The 14,697-nt window shown below is 40.9% G+C and overlaps 1 annotated feature.

Annotated features, from left to right (window-relative positions):
• Positions 264–1,180: an enhancer, noted in NCBI's record as "H3K27ac-H3K4me1 hESC enhancer chr5:136288693-136289609 (GRCh37/hg19 assembly coordinates)". NCBI's record gives its function as "activates a minimal SCP1, AML or CMV promoter by ChIP-STARR-seq in naive H9 embryonic stem cells {active_cell/tissue: H9 hESC(naive)}" and the evidence as "EXISTENCE:reporter gene assay evidence [ECO:0000049][PMID:30033119]".

Here is a 14,697-nt window from a genome sequence, read left to right as displayed (position 1 = left end):
CCGGTGCCTACACCACAAGGGCACTGGTTTTAAAGCACAGAACTGGGCAGCCGTTTGGGCAGACACTGAGCTAGGTGCAGGATTTTCTTTTCACACCCCAGTGGTGACTGGAAAGCCAGTGAGACAGAACCATTCACTCCCCTGGAAAGGGAGCTGAAGCCAGAGAGCCAAGTGGTCTAGCTCAGTGGATCCCACCCCCACAGAGCCCAGCAAGCTAAGATCCACTGGCTTGTAATTCTTGCTGCTAGCACAGCAGTCTGAAGTCGACCTGGAATGCTCCACCTTGGTGAGGGGAGGGGCATCTGGCATTACTGAGGCTTGAGTAGGGGGTTTTCCCCTCAGTGTAAACAAAGCTTTAAGGAAGTTCCAACTGGGCGGAGCCCACTGCAGCTTGGCAAAGCTGCTATAGCCAGACTGCCTCTCTAGATTCCTCTTCTTGGGGCAGGGAATCGCTGAAAGAAAGGCAGCAGCCCCAGTCAGGGGCTTATAGATAAAACTCCCATCTCCCTGGGACAGAGCACCTGGGGGCAGGGGCGGCTATAGGTGCAGCTTCAGCAGAATTAAATACTCCTGTCTGCCAGCTCTGAGGAGAGTGGCAGATCTCCCGGCACAGTGCTGGAGTTCTGCTCACGGACAGACTGCCTCCTCAAGTGGGTCCCTGACCCCCGTGCCTCCCAACTGGGAGACACAGCAGGGGTTGACAGACACCTCATGCAGGAGTGCTCCAGCTGGCATCTAGCGGGTGCTCCCCAGGAATGAACCTTCCAGGGGAAGGAACAGGCAGCAATCTTTGCTGTTCTGCAGCCTCCACTGGTGATACCTAGGCAAACAGGGTCTGGAGTGGACATCTGGCAAACTGCAGCAGACCTGCAGCAGAGGGGCCTATTAGAAGGAAAACTAACAAACAGAAAGGAATAGTATCAACATCAACAAAAACGATGTCCACACCAAAACCCCATCTGAAGGTCACCAACATCAAACACCAAAGGTACATAAATCCACGAAGATGGGGAGAAACCAGTGCAAAAAGACTGAAAATTGCAAAACACAGAACACCTCTTCTCCTCCAAAGGATCACAACTCCTCACCAGCAAGGGAAAAAACTGGACAGAGAATGAGTTTGATGAATTGACAGAAGTAGGCTTCAGAAGGTGGATAATAACAAACTCCTCCCAGCTAAAGGAGCATCTTCTAACCCAATGCAAGGAAGCTAAGAACCTTGAAAAAAGGTTAGAGGAATTGCTAACTAGAATAACCAGTTTAGAGAAGAACATTAATGACCCGATGGAGCTGAAAAACACAGCAGAAGAACCTCACGAAGCATACACAAGTATCAATAGCTGAATTAATCAAGCAGAAGAAAGAATATCAGAGATTGCAGATCAACTTAATGAAATAAAGCATAACGACAAGATTAGAGAAAAAATAGTGAAAAGGAAGGAACAAAGCCTCCAAGAAATATGGGACTATGTGAAAAGACCAAACCTATATTTGATTGTTGTACCTGAAAGTGACAAGAAGAATGGAACCAAGGAGGAAAACACTCTTCAGGATATTATTCAGGAGAACTTCCCCAACCTATCAAGACAGGCCAACATTCAAACTCAGGAAATACAGAGAACACCACAAAGATCCTCCTCAAGAAGAGCAACCCAGAGACACATAATTGTCAGATTCACCGAGGATGAAATGAAGGAAACAATGTTAAGGGAAGCCAGAGAGAAAGGTCAGGTTAACCACAAAGGGAAGCCCACCAGACTAATGGTGGATCTCTCTGCAGAAACCCTACATGCCAGAAGAGAGTGGGGGCCAATCTTCAACATTCTTAAAGAGAAGAATTTCCAACCCAGAATTTTTTTTAAATTTTATTATTATTATATTTTAAGTTTTAGGGTACATGTGCACAACGTGCAGGTTTGTTACATATGTATACATGTGCCATGTTGGTGTGCTGCACCCATTAACTCATCATTTAGCATTACGTATATCTCTTAATGCTATCCCTCCCCCCTCCCCCCACCCCACAACAGGCCCCAGGGTGTGATGTTCCCCTTCCTGTGTCCATGTGTTCTCATTGTTCAATTCCCACGTATGAGTGAGAATATGCGGTGTTTGGTTTTTTGTCCTTGTGATAGTTTGCTGAGAACGATGGTTTCCAGCTTCATCCATGTCCCTACAGAGGACATGAACTCATCATTTTTATGGCTGCATAGTATTCCATGGTGCATATGTGCCATATTTTCTTAATCCAGTCTATCATTGTTGGACATTTGGGTTGGTTCCAAGTCTTTGCTATTGTGAATAGTGCCGCAATAAACATATGTGTGCATGTGTCTTTATAGCAGCATGATTTATAATCCTTTGGGTATATACCCAGTAAAGGGATGGCTGGGTCAAATGGTATTACTAGTTCTAGATCCCTGAGGAATCGCCACACCGACTTCCACAATGGTTGAACTAGTTTACAGTCCCACCAACAGTGTAAAAGTGTTCCTATTTCTCCACATCCTCTCCAGCACCTGTTGTTTCCTAACTTTTTAATGATTGCCATTCTAACTGGTGTGAGATGGTGTCTCATTGTGGTTTTGATTTGCATTACAAGAAGAAAACAAACAACCCAATCAAAAAGTGGGCAAAGGATATGAACAGACACTTCTCAAAAGAAGACATTTATGCAGCCAAAAAACACATGAAAAAATGGTTATCATCACTGGCCATCAGAGAAATGCAAATCAACCCAGAATTTCATATCCAGCCAAACTAAGCTTCATAAGTGAAGAAAAAATAAAATCCTTTACAGACAAGCAAATGCTGAGAGATTTTGTCACCACCAGGCCTGTCTTACAAGAAGCAATAAACATGGAAAGAAACAATTGGTACCAGCAACTGCAAAAACATATAAAATTGTAAAGACCATTGACACTATGAAGAAACTGCATGAAATAATGGGCAAAATAACCAGCTAGCATATAATGATAGGATCAAATTCACACATAACAATATTAGGCTTAAATGTAAATGGGCTAATGCCCCAACTAAAAGACACAGACAGGCAAATTGGATAAAGAATCAAGACCCATTGGTGTGCTGTATTCAGGAGACCCATTTCACATGCAAAGACACACATAGGGTCAAAATAAAGAGGAAGATTTACCGAGCAAACGGAAAGAAAAAAAAAAAAGCAGAGGTTGCTATCCTAGTCTCTGATAAAACAGACTTTAAATCAACAAACATCAAAAGAGACAAAGAAGGGCATTACATAATGGTAAAGGGATCAATGCAACAAGAAGAACTAACTATCCTAAATATATATGCACCCAATACAGAAGGAACCAGATTCATAAAGCAAGTTCTTAGAGACCTACAAAGAGACTTAGACTCCCACACAATAATAGTGGGAGACTTTAATACCCCACTGTCAATATTAGACAGATCAATGAGAAAATTAACAAGGATATCCAGGACTTGAACTCAGCTCTGGAACAAGCAGACCTACTAGACATCTACAGAACTCTCCACCCCAAATCAAAAGAATATACATTCTTCTCAGCACTACATCACATTTACTCTAAAATTGACCAGATAATTGGAAGTAAAACACTCCTCAGCAAATGCAAAAGAACGGAAATCATAACAGTCTCTTAGACCACAGTGCAATCAAATTAAAATTCAAGATTAAGAAACTGCACAAATACATGGAAACTGAACAACCTGCTTCTGAATAACTACTGGGTAAATAACGAAATTAAGGCAGAAATAAATAAGTTGTTTGAAACCAATGAGAACAAAGACACAATATACCAGAATCTCTGGGACATAGCTAAAGCAGTATGTAGAGGGAAATTTATAGCATTAAATTCCCACAAGACAAATCAAGAAAGTTCTAAAATCGATATGCTAGCATCACAATTCAAAGAATTAGAGAAGCAAGAGCAAACAAATTCAAAAGCTAGCAGAAGACAAGAAATAACTAAGACCAGAGCAGAACTGAAGGAAATAAATACACCAAAAACCCTTCAAAAAAAAAAAAAAAAACAATGAATCCAGGAGCTGGTTTTTTGGAAGGATCAACAAAATAGATAGACTGCTAGCCAGACTAATAAAGAAGAAGAAAGAGAAGAATCAAATAGATGCAACAAAAAATAATAAAGGGGATATTACCACTGATCCCACAGAAATACAAACTACCATCAGGGAATACTATAAGCACGTCTATGCAAATAAACTAGAAAATCTAGAAGAAATGATAAATTCCTGGAAACATACATCCTCCCAAGTCTAAACCAAGAGGAAGTCGAATCCATGAATAACAAAAAGAAGTTCTGAAATTGAGGCAGTAATTAATAGCCTACCAACCAAAAAAAGTCCAGAACCAGATGATTCACAGTTGAATTCTACCAGAGGCACAAAGAGGAGCTTGTATCATTTCTTCTAAAACTATTCCAAACAATAGAAAAAGAGGGACTCCTTCCTAACTCATTTTATGAGGACAGCATCATCCTGATACCAAAACCTGGCAGAGACAAACCAAAAAAGAAAATTTCAGGCCAATATCCTTAATGAACATTGATGTGAAAATCCTCAATAAAATAATGGCAAACCGAATCCAGCAGCACATCAAAGAGCTTATCCACCATGATCAAGTTGGCTTCATCCATGGGATGCAAGGCTGGTTCAACATATGCAAATTAATAAATGTAATCCATCACATAAACAGACCCAGTGACAAAAACCACATGATTATCTTAATAGATGCAGAAAAGACCTTTGATAAAATTTAACACCCTTCATGCTAAAACCTCTCAATAAACTAGGTATTGATAGAACAGATCTCAAAATAATAAGAGCTATTTATGACAAACCCACAGCCAATATCATACAGAATGGGCAAAAACTGGAAACATTCCTTTTGAACACTGGCACAAGACAGGGATGCCCTCTCTCACCACTCCTATTCAATATAGTATTGGAAGCTCTGGCCAGGCAATCAGGGAAGAGAAAGAAATAAAATGTATTCAGATAGGAAGAGAGGAAGTCAAATTGTCTGTTTGCAGATGACGTGATTGTATATTTAGAAAACCCCATTGTCTCAGCCCCAGATCTCCTTAAGGTGATAAGCAACTTCAGCAAAGTCTCAGGATACAAAATCAATGTGCAAAAATCACAAGCATTTCTATACACCAGTAATAGACAAACAGCCGAATCATGAGTGAACTCCCATTCACAATTGCTACAAAGAGAATAAAATACCTAGGAATACAACTTACAAGGGATGTGAAGGACCTCTTCAAGGAGAACTACAAACCACTGCTCAACGAAATAAGAGAGGACACAAACAAATGGAAAAACATTCCATCCTCATGAATGGGAAGAATCAATATCATGAAAATGGCCATACTGCCCGAAGTAATTTATAGATTCAATGCTATTCCCATCCATCTACCATTGACTTTCTTCACAGAATTAGAAAAAACTACTTTAAATTTCACATGGAACCAAAAAAGAGCCCACATAGCCAAGAAAATCCTAAGCAAAAAGAACAAAGCTGGAAGCATCAAGCTACCTGACTTCAAACTATATTACAAGCCTACAGTAATCAAAACAGCATGTTACTGGTACCAAAACAGATATACAGACCACAGAACAGAGGCCTCAGAGATAACACCACACATCTACAACCATCTGATCTTTGACAAATCTAATAAAAACAAACATTAGGGAAGGATGCCCTATTTAATAAATAGTGTTGGGAAAACTGGCTAGCCATACGCAGAACACTAAAACTGGACCCCTTCCTTACACCTTATACAAAAATTAACTCAAGATGGATTAAAGACTTAAATGTAAGACCTAAAACCATAAAAACCCTAGAAGAAAACCTAGGCAATACCATTCAAGACATAGGCATGGGCAAAGACTTCATGACTAAAACACCAAAAGCAATTGCAACAAAAGCCAAAATTGACAAATGGGATCTAATTAAACTAAAGAGCTTCTGCACAGCAAAATAAACTATCATCATCATGAAGAGGCAACCTACAGAATGGGAGAAAATTTTTGCAATCTATCCATTTGACAAACAGCTAACATCCAGAACCTACAAAAAACTTAAGCAAATTTACAAGAAAAAAACAACCCCATCAAAAAGTGTGTGAAGGATGTGAAGAGACAACTTCTCAGAAGACAACATTTATGTGAACAACAAACATGAAAAACAGCTCATCATCACTGGTCACTAGAGAAATGCAAATCAAAACCATAATGAGATAGCCTCTCATGCCAGTTAAAATGGTGAACATTAAAAAGTCAGGAAACAACAGATGCTGGAGAGGATGTGGAGTAATAGGAATGCTTTTACATAATTGGTGGGAGTGTAAATTAGTTCAACCATTGTGGAAGACAGTGTGGCGATTCCTCAAGGATCCAGAACCAGAAATGCCATTTGACCCAGCAATCCCATTACTGGGTATATACCCAAAGCATTATAAATCATTCTACTATAAAGATACATGCACATGTATGTTTATTCCCACACTATTCACAATATCAAAGACTTGGAACCAATCCAAATGCCAATCAATGATAGATAGGATAAAGAAAATGTGGGGGGTGGAGCCAAGATGGCCAAATAGGAACAGCTCCAGTCTACAGCTTCCAGTGTCAGCAATGCAGAAGACGGGTGATTTCTGCATTTCCAAATGAGGTACCAGGTTCATCTCACAGGGGAGTGCGGGACAGTGGGTGTAGGAGAGTGGGTGCAGTGCACCCAGTGTGAGCTGAAGCATGGCGAGGCATCGCCTCACCTGGGAAGTGCAAGGGATCAGGGAATTCCCTTTCCTAGTCAAAGAAAGGGGTGACACACAGCACCTGGAAAATCAGGTCACTCCCACCCTAATACTGCACTCTTCCAACGGTCTTAGCAAACAGCACACCAGGAGATTATATCCCGTGCCTTGCTCAGAGGGTCCTATGCCCACAGAGCCTCACTCATTGGTAGCACAGCAGTCTGAGATCAAACTGCAAGGCGGCAGTGAGGCTGGGGGAGGGGCGCCCGCCATTGCCTAGGTTTCAGTAGGTAAACAAAGCGGCTGGGAAGCTCGAACTGGGTGGAACCCACCGCAGCTCAAGGAGGCCTGCCTGCCCCTGTAGACTCCACTTCTGGGGGCAGGGCATAGCCAAACTAAAGCAGCAGAAACCTCTGTCCCTGTCTGTCCCTGTCTGACAGCTTTGAAGAGAGTAGTGGTTCTCCCAGCATGCAACGAGAGATCTGAGAACGGACAGACTGCCTCCTCAAGTGGGTCCCTGACACCCAAGTAGCCTAACTGGGAGGCACCCCCCAGTAGGGGCAGACTGACACCTCACATGGCTATGTACTCCTCTGAGACAAAACTTCCAGAGGAACGATCAGGCAGTAACGTGCTGTTCACCAATATCCGCTGTTCTGCAGCCTCCTCTACTGATACCCAGGCAAACAGGGTCTGGAGTGGACCTCCAGCAAACTCCAACAGACCTGCAGCTGAGGGTCCTGACTGTTAGAAGGAAAACTAACAAACAGAAAGGACATCCACACCAAAAACCCATCTGTTCATCACCATAATCAAAGACCAAAGGTAGATAAAACCACAAAGCTGGGGAAAAAACAAAAACTGGAAACTCTAAAAAGCAGAGCACCTCTCCTCCTCCAAAGGAACACAGCTCCTCACCAGCAACGGAGCAAAGCTGGATGGAGAATGACTTTGACCAGTTGAGAGAAGAAGGCTTCAGACGATCAAATGACTCCAAGCTAAAGGAGGAAGTTCCAACCCATGGCAAAGAAGTTAAAAACCTTGAAAAAAAAATTAGATGAATGGCTAACTAGAATAACCAATGCAGAGAAGTCCTTAAAGGACATGATGGAGCTGAAAACCATGGCACGAGAACTACGTGACAAATGCACAAGCCTCAGTAACCGATACGATCAACTGGAAGAAAGGGTATCAATGATGGAAGATCAAATGAATGAAATGAAGCGAGAAGAGAAGTTCAGAGAAAAAAGAATAAAAAGTAATGAACAAAGCCTCCAAGAAATATGGGACTATGTGAAAAGACCAAATCTACGTCTGACTGGTGTACCTGAAAGTGACATGGAGAATGGAACCAAGTTGGAAAACACTCTGCAGGATATTATCCAGGAGAACTTCCCCAATCTAGCAAGGCAGGCCAACATTCAAATTCAGGAAATACAGAGAACACCACAAAAATACTCCCTGAGAAGAGCAACTCTAAGACACAATTGTCAGATTCACCAAGGTTGAAATGAAGGAAAAAATGTTAAGGGCAGCCAGAGAGAAAGGTCGGGTTACCGACAAAGGGAAGCCCATCAGACTAACAGCGGATCTCTTGGCAGAAACTCTACAAGCCAGAAGAGAATGGGGGCCAATATTCAACATTTTTAAAGAAAAGAATTTTCAACCCAGAATTTCATATCCAGCCAAACTAAGCTTCATAAGTGAAGGAAAAATAAAATCCTTTACAGACAAGCAAATGCTGAGAGATTTTGTCACCACCAGGCCTGCCCTAAAAGAGCTCCTGAAGGAAGCACTAAACATGGAAAGGAACGACCCATACCAGACACTGCAAAAACATGCCAAATTGTAAAGACCATCAAGGCTAGGAAGAAACTGCATCAACTAATGAGGAAAATAACCAGCTAACATCATAATAACAGGATCAAATTCACACATAACAATATTAACCTTAAATGTAAATGGGCTAAATGCTCCAATTAAAAGACACAGACTGGCAAATTGGATAAAGAGTCAAGACCCATCAGTGTGCTCTATTTAGGAAATCCATCTCATGAGCAGAGACACACATAGGCTCAAAATAAAGGGATGGAGGAAGATCTACCAAACAAATGGAAAACAAAAAAAAGCAGAGGTTGCAATCCTAGTCTCTGATAAAACAGACTTTAAACCAACAAAGATCAAAAGAGACAAAGAAGGCCATTACATAATGGTAAAGGGATCAATTCAACAAGAAGAGCTAACTATCCTAAATATATATGCACCCAATACAGGAGCAGCCACATTCATAAAGCAAGTCCTTAGAGACTTACAAAGAGACTTAGGCTCCTACACAATAATAATGGGAGACTTTAACACCCCACTGTCAACATTAGACAGATCAACGAGACAGAAAGTTAACAAGGATATCCAGGAATTGAACTCAGCTCTGCACCAAGAGGACCTAATACACATCTACAGAACTCTCCACCCCAAATCAACAGAATATACATTCTTTTCAGCACCACACCACACCTATTCCAAAATTGACCACATAGTTGGAAGTAAAGCACTCCTCAGGAAATGTAAAAGAACAGAAATTATAACAACCTGTCTCTCAGACCACAGTGAAATCAAACTAGAACTCCGGATTAAGAAACTCACTCAAAACCGCTCAACTACGTGGAAAAGGAACAACCTGCTCCTGAGTGCCTACTGGGTACATAACAAAATGAAGGCAGAAATAAAGAGGTTCTTTGAAACCAATGAGAACAAAGACACAACATACCAGAATCTCTGGGACGCATTCAAAGCAGTGTGTAGAGGGAAATTTATAGCACTAAATGCCCACAAAAGAAAGCAGGAAAGATCTAAAATTGACACCCTAACATCACAATTAAAAGAACTAGAGAAGCAAGAGCAAACACATTCAAAAGCTAGCAGAAGGCAAGAAATAACTAAGATCAGAGCAGAACTGAAAGAGATAGAGACACAAAAAACCTTCAAAAAATCAATGAATCCAGGAGCTGGTTTTTTGAAATGATCAACAAAATCGATAGACCGCTAGCAAGACCAATAAAGAAGAAAAGAGATGAAAAGAGAGAAGAATCAAATAGATGCAATAAAAAATGATAAAGAGGATATCACCACTGATCCCACAGAAATACAAACTACCATCAGAAAATACTATAAACACCTCTACACAAATAAACTAGAAAATCTAGAAGAAACGGATAAATTCCTCGACACTCACACCCTCCTCCCAAGACTAAACCAGGAAGAAGTTGAATCTCTGAATAGACCAATAACAGGATCTGAAATTGAGGCAATAATTAATAGCTTACCAACCAAAAAAAGTCCAGGACCAGATGGATTTACAGCCAAATTCTACCAGAGGTACAAGGAGGAGCTGGTACCATTCCTTCTGAAACTATTCCAATCAATAGAAAAAGAGGGAATCCTTCCTAACTCATTTGATGAAGCCAGCATCATCCTGATACCAAAGCCTGGCAGAGACACAACAAAAAAAGAGAATTTTAGACCAATATCCCTGATGAACATCAATGCAAAAATCCTCAATAGAATACTGGCACACTGAATCCAGCAGCACATCAAAAAGCTTATCCACGATGATCAAGTGGGCTTCATCCCTGGGATGCAAGGCTGGTTCAATATACACAAATCAATACACATAATCCAGCATATAAACAGAACCAACGACAAAAACCACATGATTATCTCAATAATGCAGAAAAGGCCTTTGACAAAATTCAACAACCCTTCATGCTAAAAACTCTCAATAAATTAGGTATTGATGGGACGTATCTCAAAATAATAAGAGCTATCTATGACAAACCCACAGCCAATATCATACTGAATGGGCAAAAACTGGAAGCATTCCCTTTGAAAACTGGCACAAGACAGGGATGCCCTCTCTCACCACTCCTATTCAACATAGTGTTGGAAGTTCTGGCCAGGGCAATCAGGCAGGAGAAGGAAATAAAGGGCATTCGATTAGGAAAAGAGGAAGTCAAATTGTCCCTGTTTGCAGATGACATGATTGTCTATCTAGAAAACCCCATTGTCTCAGCCCAAAATCTCCTTAAGCTGCTAGTCAACTTCAGCAGTCTCAGGATACAAAATCAACGTACAAAAATCACAAGCATTCTTATACACCAATAATAGACAAACAGAGAGCCAAATCATGAGTGAACTCCCATTCACAATTGCTTCAAAGAGAATAAAATACCTAGGAATCCAACTTACAAGGGACGTGAAGGACCTCTTCAAGGAGAACTACATACCACTTCTCATTGAAATAAAAGAGGATTCAAACAAATGGAAGAGCATTCCATGCTCATAGGTAGGAAGAATCAATATCATGAAAATGGCCATATTGCCCAAGGTAATTTATAGATTCAATGCCATCCCCATCAAGTTACCAATGACTTTCTTCACAGAATTGGAAAAAACTACTTTAAAATTCATATGGAACCAAAAAAGAGCCTGCATTGCCAAGTCAATCCTAACTCAAAAGAACAAAGCTGGAGGCATCATGCTACCTGACTTCAAACTATACTACAAGGCTACAGTAACCAAAACAGAATGGTACTGGTACCTAAACAGAGATATAGATCAATGGAACAGAACAGAGCCCTCAGAAATAATACCACACATCTACAACCATCTGATCTTTGACAAACTTGACAAAAACAAGCAATGGGGAAAGGATTCCCTATTTAATAAATGGTGCTGGGAGAACTGGCTAGCCATATGTAGAAAGCTGAAACTGGATCCCTTCCTTACACTTTATACAAAAATTAATTCAAGATGGATTAAAGACTTAAATGTTAGACCTAAAACCATAAAAACCCTAGAAGAAAACCTAGGCAATACCATTCAGGACATAGGCATGGGCAAGGACTTCATGTCTAAAACGTGAAAGATATGAACAGACACTTCTCAAAAGAATACATTTATGCAGCCAACAGACACATGAAAAAATGCTCCTCATCACTGGCCATCAGAGAAATGCAAATCAAAACCACAATGAGATACCATCTCACACCAGTTAGAATGGCAATCATTAAAAAGTCAGGAAACAACAGGTGCTGGAGAGGATGTGGAGAAATAGGAACACTTTTACACTGTTGGTGGGACTGTAAACTAGTTCGACCATTGTGGAAGTCAGTGTGGCGATTCCTCAGGGATCTAGAACTAGTAATACCATTTGACCCAGCCATCCCTTTACTGGGTATATACCCAAAGGATTATAAATCATGCTGCTATAAAGACACATGCACACATATGTTTATTGCGGCACTATTCACAATAGCAAAGACTTGGAACCAACCCAAATGTCCAACAATGATAGACTGGATTAAGAAAATGTGGCACATATACACCATGGAATACTATGCAGCCATAAAAAATGATGAGTTCATGTCCTCTGTAGGGACATGGATGAAGCTGGAAACCATCATTCTCAGCAAACTATCGCAAGGACAAAAAACCAAACACCACATGTTCTCACTCACAGGTGGGAATTGAACAATGGGAACACATGGACACAGGAAGGGGAACATCACACACCGGGGCCTGTTGTGGGGTAGGGGGAGAGGGGAGGGATAGCATTAGGAGATATACCTAATGCTAAATGATGAGTTAATGGATGCAGCACACCAACATGGCACATGTATACATATGTAACAAACCTGCACGTTGTGCACCTGTACGCTAAAACTTAAAGTGTAATTTAAAAAAAAAGAAAAATGTGGCACATATACACAATGGAATACTATGCAGCCATAAAAAAGGACAAGTTTATGTCCTTTGCGGGGACATGGATATAGCTGGAAATCATCAGTCTCAGCAAACTGACACAGGAACAGAAAATCAAACACCACATGTTCTCACTCATAAGTGGGAGTTAAACAATGAGAACACACGGATCCACGGAGGAGAACATCACACACCAGGGCCTGTCATGGGGTGGGGGAGGTACAGCATTAGGAGAGATACCTAATGTAGATGATGGGTTGATGGGTGCCGCAAAGCACCATGGCACGTGTATATCTATGTAACAAACCTGTACATTCTGAAACATATATCCCAGAATTTCAAGTATAATTTTAAAAATTAAAAAATAAAAAAGATCTAAATTTATCTTGTGATTCAGTTCTAATATGCTATGTAGTTGATCTCCTACTCTTTTTTGAGAACAAGACTATTAAAAAGATTCCATTTACTTGCTCTCAGTCTTAGAAAATGGACTTAAAGTTCCAAAGACAAATTACAATTTTTCCTGAATAGTTTATCGAATAGGGCACAAGAGGGAAAAAACTGTTAGACTGAAGGCTATTCAAACATGCCCTAGAACTCTTACAAACTACAATAGAAAGGATCTGTAGGTTTAAGAGGATATTGCAGACAATGGGTTCTAAGTTTTTCTGAGATTGCAAAACCTTTTTACGAATAAATCCTCAGGAACAGACTTCTGCTCTGAAAGTCCAAATGGGAGCAGGACTTCTGGAACCTGAAGGTTTTTCAATTGCCTCCTTATCTAGGTATCTCTAACTAAAACACCACCACCACCAACAACAAAAACCAAAAAACATTTCATCTGTTTGCATATGAGTGATTGGGACAAGCCCTTTGGGTTTTAAGTGCATCATCAGCAGACCCAGGGGCAAAGGTTCATCTCCTTGTCTGAGAACCACAGCCGCTACTGCAAACTTGGTGATGTTTCTGCTGAACTGGTTTTGGCTCCCTACTTGACCTCAGGTTCCTCACACAGTGCAGACATTACTGAGGACACACAGCACTTCTCAGCCATCTGATTAACCTCCTATGAGATGCTATTACTCCCTGCCTCTCACATGGGTTATTCACCACAACAAAACCTAAACACTGTCACTCTCCTGCCCTGCAAGAAGATGGGGAGCTGAACCTCAGAATTATCTTTTCTTAATTAGGGAACCCTCGGTACCACAATCAGATTTATCTGAGACTCATATTGAGAACCACGACCTCATAATCTTTGTTATGGATCATACCTCAAAATGTTAGTAGTGGAAGGTATCCGAGTCACAAGGCACCAAAATATGTTAATAGTGGCAAATAGGTACTGGTCTGCAGCAACCTCAGTTCTTGCCTCCTCAGAAGAAAGTATTTGACTTCGGGGCTTAAGGCAGAAGGAGAGACTGGGGAAAGTTTTAGAGCAGGAGAGAACATTTATTTAAAAACCTTAGAACAGGAATGAAAGGAAGGAAAGTACACTTGGAAGAGAGCCAAGTGGCCAACTTGAAAGACAAGTGCACAGTTTGACCTTTTTGACTTGGGGTTTCATATGTTGGCATACTTCCGGGTCTTGTGTCACTTCTCTCAACTCCTCAGATCTTATTGGGAAGCTGCAAATCACCAGTTTCAGGTATTTTCTATCTAATATGAGACTGTCTTTCCCTAGTGCCAGCTGGGATCAATTATTTCCTTAGAGAGACAGTTAACACTGCCTGACCATCACTGGATGGTCACCTGACACTACTGGAGTATGTGTTGGGTGGTGGGGAGCTCTTTTATGCCCTGCTTATACCTGACTAGCTACTTACTGTAACAAAAACTGAATCTGGAGGTTATCGAGCAAGATATTCCATCACTAATCCCAGCTCTCCTTTAGAATACAGTCCTCTGTCTGAGGAAAAGGCATCCCAGGTGGCAGAATTTATTGCACCTTCTAGAGTTTTTCAACTAGCCAAAGACCAGAGAATAGACTTATATACAGATAGCAGGGTTACTCTAGAGTAGTACGTGACTTTCGGATGCTTTGGAAAGAAAAAGCGTCTCTCACCTCCCTGTAACTTCCATCAAAAGTGGACAGCAAGTTAAGAGACATTTAGTTGCATTCCTACTTCCTAGAGAGGTGGCTTTTATCAAA

The sequence above is a fragment of the Homo sapiens genome, chromosome 5, assembly GCF_000001405.40.
Source record: "Homo sapiens chromosome 5, GRCh38.p14 Primary Assembly".
Classification (NCBI taxonomy): Eukaryota; Metazoa; Chordata; class Mammalia; order Primates; family Hominidae; genus Homo; species Homo sapiens.
This window is presented reverse-complemented; position numbering and strand designations above follow the sequence as displayed.